A 9,609-nucleotide genomic window follows, 5' to 3' on the forward strand; every position below is an offset into this window, starting at 1 on the left:
TTAAAGAAATTTAAAATGTACTCCCTCAGTCACACTAGCCACACTGTAAGTGCTCAGTAACTCATGTACCTGGTGGCTACCATATTGGACAGTACAGCTATAGAATATTTCTATTTCAGAAAGTTCTGATAGCTGATGTAGAATATTGGACTGGTAATGGTTATACTGTTTAAGATGAACCTGTGTAAAGAATAGAAAATAATAGAGCCAGGGGTACAAATGATAAGCATAGATGACTTGTCAATCTCCTGAAATATGTTCAACCAATATGGACCCAATCATGTTATTGGATTAAAATAATTTTTTAAAAAGGGCATGATACAAACTCTCCTCAACCAGAGAGTTTTAATTCTTCCCAAGGTCTAAGGTACACGGGTACAAAGAGCAAAAATCCTCAAAGGGCATCAATCATTATTTACTAGTGGTCAGACTGTATCTAATTATGGAGCAGAATTATTCAACAGCGTGCATTCATTTGTAAAGTATAAAAAGCTGGGCATGGTGGCTCATGCCTGTAATCTCAGCACTTTGGGGGGCCAAGGCAGGAGGATCTCTTCAGGCCAGGAGTTCTGAGACCAGGTTGGGCAGCATAGCAAGACCCCATGTCTACAAAAAATATTTTTTAAAAAAATAGCTGAAGCCTGACGCAGTGGCTCACGCCTGTAACCCCAACACTTTGGGAGGCTAAGGAGGGTGGATCACCTGAGGTCAGGAGTTTGAGACCAGCCTGGCCAACATGGTGAAACCCTGTCTCTACTAAAAATACAAAAATTAGCCGGGCATGGTGGCACGTGCCTGTCGTCCCAGCTACTCGGGAGGCTGAGGCAGGAGAATCTGTTGAACCCGAGAGGCAGAGTTTGCAGTGAGCCAAGGTCACGCCACTGCACTCCAGCTTGGGCGACAGAGTGAGACTCCATCTCAAAAAAGTAAATACATAAATATAAAAATAATAAAAATTAGCTGGGTGTAGTCCTAGCTATTCAGTAGGCTGAGGCGGAGGACTGCTTGAGCCAAGAGTTCAAGGCTGCAGTGAGCTATGATTGTGCCCGCTATACTCCAGCATGGGCAACAGAGTAAGACCTTGTCTCTTAAAAATAAACTAGAATACTTTTGTAATGGCTGGTAATTTTATAAGAACTAGGACTGGCAAAGGTTAAAAAAAAATCTAACTTCCTGGCTCAAAATAAAATTTCCTGGGTCAACAAAGACTTTGCTGTCAATCCTGTAGGTTAGATGTGCATTCCTTTTAACTAACATTTAAAATTGACCACTTTGCTCTCCTTAAAAAGGAATCTTCTCTTAAACTTCTCTGACATCACACTATTTCTATTTCTCCGGCCACTCCTTGGTCTCATTTTGTTTTCTTCCTCTGACTGTCTCCAGGCTCTTTTCTCTCCTGAGCCTGCACCAGGTGATTTCATGTACTCTCATGGCTTCAAATGACCATCTGTATTTTGGTAATTCCTTTTCTTGTAGTTTCAGCCTAGATCTCTCTTCCAAGTTCCAGATACACATCTAGCTGACATCTCTTGAGTGTTCAAAATAGCATCTCAAGCTAGCGTGTCCAGATCTGCATGCATCTGCTTTCCCCAGAATTTGTCTTGTATGCCTCATGTCAGCAAATCACGCTACTCAATTGTGCAAGCCAGAAACCTAGATGTCATTCTGAATCTTCCAACTCCCTCATGCTCTGCATCCAGAAATCACAAAGTTCTTTTGGTTTTACCAACTGTATCTCAAATGCAGCCACTTCTCACCTTGCCCACTGCCACCATTCTAGTACAGACCATGATAATTTCCAACCTAGATTCTTGCACCAACCTCCTGTGTTTCCCCTTCTAATTGAGTCTCCACATTACCCATTATCTGCATAAACTCAAATCTCTTATCTATTCTCCTATCCTTAAAATTCTTTGAATGTTCCCCATTTGCCCTCAGGATAACTCTGTACAATAGCTAACAAGTCTATTTCAGCCTTGTCTTCACATCTCTGCACTCTGCCCCCAAGGTGGCTGTCTATACTTTTCTTTAGTTCTGTAAAGAGCCCATCCTGTGCCTCGCTTCTTGCCCTTGCACATGCAGTCTCCTCAGCCTGGACAATCTCTTCCCCCTTTCCCCACCACAGATGTCACCCCATTTCACCTGGCTAGTTTCTGCTCATACTTTAGGTCTTGTTTGGACATTATTTTCTCCTGGAAACTTTTCTTCACAACCCTCCCATGGTATGTGCCATCCTAATACTCTGTTTCCCCATTAATGCACTTTCACACTGTTTACTTGTTTGTATCCCCCACTGGACTGCAAGCTACTCATGACTTGTGTCTTTTTTTTTTTTTTTTTTGGACTTGTGTCTTTTTCATTGTTTAATCCTCTGATACATGCAGTGTGCCATAAATGTGTGAATAATGACAAACTGTAGTCACATGCCTTTTTATTTTCTGATGTTTTGACATCTGGGTTCTTGCTAAGACTTCTCTTCCTAGGACTAATTCCTAGAGATTGCAAAAGACTCCCATTGGAGCATGCCTTACATATACACCCCAGCCAATCCAAAGCCTGTATCCCCAACTACCTCCTTTAACAAACTCTCATAAGCCAAGCCAAGATTCCCATCCCCTAATCACCCCAGGGCCAGCCTCTCACCTGAGAGCCTGCTGAAATTATTCAAACTAGCCAGTCTTAGAAGCTGCTTACCCTGCCTCGCCCATTCCTTCCCATGACAACCACAGTAAAGTCTCACCCATGCTTTCCCCTCATTCCCTTCACCTCCTGGTCAACCCTAGTGCTTCCCTGTGTGGGATGCCATGCCTCCTGCTTCTAGGAAACTGTAATGTTTTACCCAGTTAAAAACATCTTCCTTCGTGACATTCATTTCTGTGTCTCTGTGTCTTACCATATGCTATGGTTTGAGTGTGTCCCTCAAAAGTTCATAAAATGGAAATTGAATTCCCATTTTAACAGTGTTGAGAGGCAGGACGTTGGAGAGGTGATTAGGTCACAAGGGCTCCACACTCATGAATGAATGAATGCCATTACTGCGGGAGGGGGTTTCTGATGAAAATGATGAGTTTGCCCCCTCCGCCTCTTGCTCTCTGTTGCACGTGCTTCCTTACCACACGATGCCTTCCACCATGAGATGACCCTCACCAGATGCTGGAAGCATGCTCTTAGACTTCCCAGTCTTCAGAACCACGAGCCAAATAAACTCTTCTTTGTATATCCAGTCTGTGGTATTCTGATATAGCAGTAGAAACAGACTAAGCCACCATATCTGATTAAAACAGTCCAGATTTTTAAAACACACATTTTACTAAAGGCTATGTGCTATTATTCCTCACAATAGTCTAAAGTATTAAACTTTATTATTCCCACTTTAGAGAAGAAAAAACTGAAAGCCTAAAGCCAAGTTGGTAAAGCTGTGGAGCAGTGGAGCTGAAAGTAAACTCAAATCCCAGAGCTGTTTTCCTTTTAAAAAAAATTGTGTATGTTTAAAGTGTACATGATGTTTTGATATACATAGTGAAAAGATTAGGACATGCAGACAATATATCCATCATCTACCACTGTTACCTCTTGTTTTGTGTGGTAAAAGCACCTAAAATCTACGTTCTTTGCAAAACTTCAATATGCAAGATTAATAACTGTAGCTTTGTGGCACATTGGATCTCTAGACTTATTGATCCTACATAACTGCAAGTTTGTACCCTTTGACCTACATCTCCCCATTTCCTCCTCCTCTCTGCCCTTGGTAACTACTGTTGTACACTATGTATGTGACTTTTTTTGGATCCCATATATAAATGAGATCATGCAGTATTTTTCGGTGTCTGGCTTTTTTCGCTTAGCATAATGTCCTCCAGTTTGATTCATGTTTTTGCAAATGGAATATTTCCTCTTTTAAGGCCAAATAATATTCCATTTTATATATAGCACAATTGATCCATTTATCCATCAATGGACACTTACATTGTTTGCATAGATTGACTCTTGTGAATAATGCTGCAATTGATGTGGGAGCCCAGACACCTCTGTGGTGCTGATTTTATTTCCTTTGGGTACATACCCAACAGAGGGATTCTCTGGGTCATGTTGGTTCAATATGAACCAATTTGAAAATCAATTCGTGTAATTTACCATTTTAACAAACTAAAGAAAAATCACATGATCATATTAATAGATGCAGAAAAAGCATTTGACCAAATATAACACTAAGAGGTTTAGTGAATCTTCGCCTAAACCTTACACATTATACAAAAGTCAAAATATCATTTAAATATAAAATGTAAAATTATAAAACCTTTAGAAGATTACGTAGGAGAAAGTCTTTGGACAGTCTTAGTCCATTCAGGCTGCTAGAACAGAATCCCATAGACTGGGTGGCTTTATAAACAACAGAATTGTATTTCTCACAGTTTTGAAGGCTGGGAAGTTCCAGATCAAGGCATCAGCATGTTCTTCATTTGGTGAGGGCCTACTTCCTGGTTCATAGAACAGAATAGTGCCTTCTTGCTGTGTCCTTACATCATGGAAGGGGAAAGGGAACTCTCTGGGGTCTCTCTTATAAGGGCACTAATCCCATTCATGAGGACCCCCATCCTCATGACCTATTCACCTCCCAAAGGCCCCACCTCCTAACACTATCACACCAGAGGTTAGGTTTCAACATACGAATTTTGGGGGAAACAAACATTCAACCTACAGCAGGATTCTGGGCCTTGGTGACAGTTCTTAGGCATGACACTAAGAGCACAATCTGTAAAAAAGATAATAAGTGGGCTTACTCAAAATTTAAAACTTTCCTCTGTAAGAGATCCTGTTAAGTGGGTGAAAAGATAAACCACAGACTGGAAGAAAATATTTGTAAATCATATATCTGACAAAGGACTCATATCTAGAGTATATAAAGAACTCTCAAAACTCAACAATTGGCCAGGCATGGTGGCTCACACCTGCAATCCCAGCACTATGGGAGGCTAAGGCGGGAGGATCGCTTGAGTCCAGGAGTTTGAGACCAACCTTGGCAATGTAGGGAGACTCCATCCCTACAAAAAAAAAAATTTTTTTTGATTAGCTGGGTGTGGTGGCATGCACCTGTAATCCCAGCTGCCTGGGAGGCTGAGGTAAGAAGATCACTTGAGCTCAGAAGGTCGAGGCTGCAGTAAGCTGTGTTCACACCACGTGGGTGACCCGTATCAAAAAATAAAAAAAACAAAAAACAAAACAACAACAAAAAACTCAACAGTTAAAACCAATAATCCAAACAGAAAATGGACAAAAGACATGAAGAGACATTTCACCAAAAAGTATATATGGATGGTAAATAAGAATATGGAAATATATTGAGATAGCCATTAGGGAAATACAAGTTAAGACCACGATGAGATATCACTATCTACCTATTAGAATACCTAAAAAATAGTGACAACACCAAATGCTAGTGAGGATGTGTAGAAACTGGATTTCTCATACATTGCTGGTAGGCACGTAAAATGGCATAACCATTTTGGAAAATAGATTGGCAGTTTCTTTAAAAAAAAAAAAAAAAACTATACGGGCACTTACCATAAAGCCCAGCAATCACACTCCTGGGCGTTTATCAGTAGAAAAACCTGTATACAAATTGTCATAACAGCTTTATCTGTAATAGCTAAAAGCCAAAACCGGCAAAATGTCCTACAATTGGTGAATGGTTAAACTGTGGTACATTCATACTATGGAATACAACTCCACCACAAAAAGGAACAGATTACTGATACAATAACTTGGATGATCTCAAGGGCATTGTAATGAAAAAAGTCCATTTTAAAAGGTCATGTATCAGCCAGGCACGGTGGCCCATGCCTGTAATCTCAGCACTTTGGGAAGCTGAGGCAGGTGGATCACTGGAGGCCAGGAGTTTGAGACCAGTTTGGCCAACATGGCTAAACCTTGCCTCTAATAAAAATACAAAAATTAGCTGGGTGTGGTGGCACATGCATGCGAACCCAGCTACTGGGGAGGCTGAGGCAGGAGAATCGCTTGAACCTGGGCGACAGAGCAGGACTCTGTCTCAAAAGAAAAAAAAAGGTCATGTATCACATGATTCCATGTATATAACATTCTTAAAATGGAAAGCTACAGAGGTAGAAAAAATGTTAGTGGTTGCCGCAGGCCTGGGGTGGTGAAGGAGAGGTGGATGAATGTGACTACAAAGAGAGATCTGTTCACCTTTTCAGTCATCACTTCTTTCGCTGTGTTGAGTTGCCACTGTCTTAGGTATGATTTTTCTGGTTGGGAAATTCCTCAGCTTCTGCTCTGCTGATGGCATCTTCCCTAATGTCCCATGCTGGTATGGATTTTGGGAGCAGGAAAGATGAATGTAATTCTTTGTAATTTGTCTTACCTACTCTCCCCAAAAACAACTTTCAGCAAGTTCACCAATGGCCTCTATAAAGCTAAATCCAGTGGACAGTTTTCAGTTCTTATTTTAAAGCAGAAGTCCCCAGCCTTTTTGGCACCAGGGACCAGTTTTGTGGGAGACAATTTTTCCACAGGATGGGGGCAGGGGATGGTTTCGGGATGAAACTGTTGACCTCAGATCATCAGGTATTAGTTAGATTCTCATAAGGAGCATGCAACCTAGATCCCTCGCATGTACAATTCACAGTAGGGTTTGCGCTCCTATGAGAATCTAGTGCCTTGCTGATCTGACAGGAGGCAGAGCTCAGGAAGTAATGCTGGCTCACCAGCTGCTTACCTCCTGCCATGTGGCCCGGTTCCTAACAGGCCACAGACCCATACTGGTCCATGACCTGGGAATTAGGGACCCCTGTTTTAAAGGATTCCCTGCTGCATTTGACATAGCTGATGGTATTAGTTTCCTGAGGCTGATGCAACCAATTACCACAGACCTGATGGCTTCAAACAAGAGCATCTCTTACCATTCTAGAGGCCAGAAGTCCAAAACCAGTTTTACTGGGCCAAACCCAAAGTGTAGTAGGGATGTGCTCCCTTCAGAGTTTCTAGAGAAGAATCTGCCAGCAGACCTTGGCTTGTGGCTGCACCATCCAATCTCTGCCTGTGTGGTTACATTGCCTCCTTCTCTCATGTATGTATCAAACATCCCTCTGCCTGTCCCTTATAAGGACATTAGTGATGGCATTTAGGGTTTATCTGGATAATCAAGGATAATCTCCCTATCTCAATATTCTTAATCACATCTGTAAACATTTTCCCACAGAAGGTAATAGTCACAGATTCCAGAGGAAAGAACCAGCTATCTTTGGGTGGCCATTATTCAGCTTGCTACACTGAACATTCTCATTCTTTCTCAAAACTCCACCCCTCTGAATTCTAGCACATTGTTCTGTACTCTTGTTTTGCTACCTGACAATTGCATCTTGGCTTCTTTGGGCCTTTTCTTGTCTGTTTAACCCCACATGGGGGCCATCCTTGGCTCATCTAGCACACTTTTCTCACTGGGACAATTTCATGGACTCCTGTAATGCATCACTCCCCCATCTGTATCTTTTTTTTTTTTTTTTTTTTTTTTTTTAAGATGGAGTCTCGCTCTGCTGCCCAGGCTGGAATGCCACGGCGCAATCTTGGCTCACTGGTGCAAGCTCCGCCTCCCGGGTTCACGCCATTCTCCTGCCTCAGCCCCCCGAGTAGCTGGGACTACAGGCTCCTGCCATCACGCCCGGCTAATTTTTGTATTTTCAGTAGAGACGGGGTTTCACCGTGTTAGTCAGAATGGTCTTGATCTCCTTACCTCATGATCCGCCCACCTCAGCCTCCCAAAGTGCTAGGATTACAGGCATAACCCACCGTGCCCACCCCACCATCTCTATCTTTAGCCCAGATTGCTTCCCTAATTATCAGACTCAGTCTGTAGCTGGTCAGATGCCTACCAAAAATATATCTATCTGGATGTTCCTCAAGTCCCTCACACTTAATAATCTTCTAAAATGAAATTCATGTTCTCCCTGTCATCAAAAGCAAAAGTGTAACTAGGTCCTCATGCTGTGGAGCAAACGTGTACAAAAGGAATTCCCCTGAATGGATATGGCGGGATCTAGGGGCAGGGAAGGGTCCATACTAATCACTGACAGAGGGGCTCTCACATAAAAAAGGGATCTCCCTTTTACTGCCTTCTCCACTGTCTCCCACATGGACTCACCATCGTGTCTCAGTTAAGCAGTAAACTGACAAATTGTGACTTTCTCACTTCAGTAGGCATCACTATGAGATACACTTTTTACTAGGCCCAGTGCAAAATGGAAATTGCAGAACCTCTTGTTCAAAGATTAGTAGGAATTTCAAGAGTAGCAAAAGCTGAGTATTAAGCCCTTCTATGCCCAGGACCCTGTGTGACTACACAGGTCACATGCCTATAAAGCTGGCCCTGCCTGGAAGTCGTTTCTTCTCTCTCTTCCCACTGCCTGGATCTAACTAGCCTCCAATACCTGCCATGCTATTCCTCAAATGTCTCCTGATTCTGTTCTTTCTCATTCTCTTCTATCATTGCCTTAGTACAACCCCTCATTCCCTCCACTTGTTCTTTCTGGCTCAGGTCTTTAGATCTGGCATCCAGATGAATCATCTAAAATGCAAATCTGGTCAGGTCACTCCCAGCCTGAAATGCTCCAGTGGCCAGCCATAACTGTAAGGATAAAGTCCCAGGTACTTGGTAAGGTCTGCCATGGTGAACTCAAAGTGATGATAATATCAAACCTCTTTCAGTGCTTGTGTATGTCATAATGTGACACATCTCTGTGCCTTTGCTATTGCTGCTACTCCTACTCTTCGCTTGGACAATGTATTCTTTTCAGTCTCACAGCTCAACTAATTGTGTGTGAATGTGTGTGTACATAAACATTTTTATAACAGTGCCTGGCATTTAGTTAGCACAGTATGTATTAGCTATTATTATTATTCCAGGAAACCCTCTTGGACAAATTAGGCTGAATAGCCTTCTTTCATGTCACCTTAGCACACTGTGCATATTTTATATTACCACATTACAGTGAAGAGGTGTCTTCCTCTGTCTGCCTCCACAGCTAGAGTGCAAGCTCCTTGAGGCAGGGACCATGTCTTACTCATCTTTTCAATCTAGTGCCAAAGGGGTATAGTGTCCTGTGCATCGCATGCATTCAAAAAATCTTTGTGTATTCAACTGATCCCCAGCATACCTTCCAATCATTTTTAGTCCTAGAGGGGTTTCTTTTTTTTTTTTTTTTTTTTTTTTTTTTTGAGACGGAGTCTCACTCTACCGCCCAGCTGGAGTGCAGTGGCGCGATCTCGGCTCACTGCAAGCTCCACCTCCCAGGTTCACACTATTTTCCTGTCTCAGCCTCCCGAGTAGCTGGGACTACAAGCACCCGCCACCACCTCCGGCTAATTTTTTGTATTTTTAGTAGAGACGGTGTTTCACTGTAGTCTCGATCTCCTGACCTCGTGATCCGCCCGCCTCGGCCTCCCAAAGTGCTGGGATTACAGGCGTGAGCCACCGCGCCGGGTGAGGGGTTTCTTAAAAAGCATTTTCATCAGATGAGACCCCAGCCCTGAGGGGAGAAGGAGAAAGAGAAAGAGAAAGAAAGAGTATTTTCAGCCACCACCTGAGGCCACCAT

This window comes from Homo sapiens, chromosome 2 (assembly GCF_000001405.40).
Source record: "Homo sapiens chromosome 2, GRCh38.p14 Primary Assembly".
Classification (NCBI taxonomy): domain Eukaryota; kingdom Metazoa; phylum Chordata; class Mammalia; order Primates; family Hominidae; genus Homo; species Homo sapiens.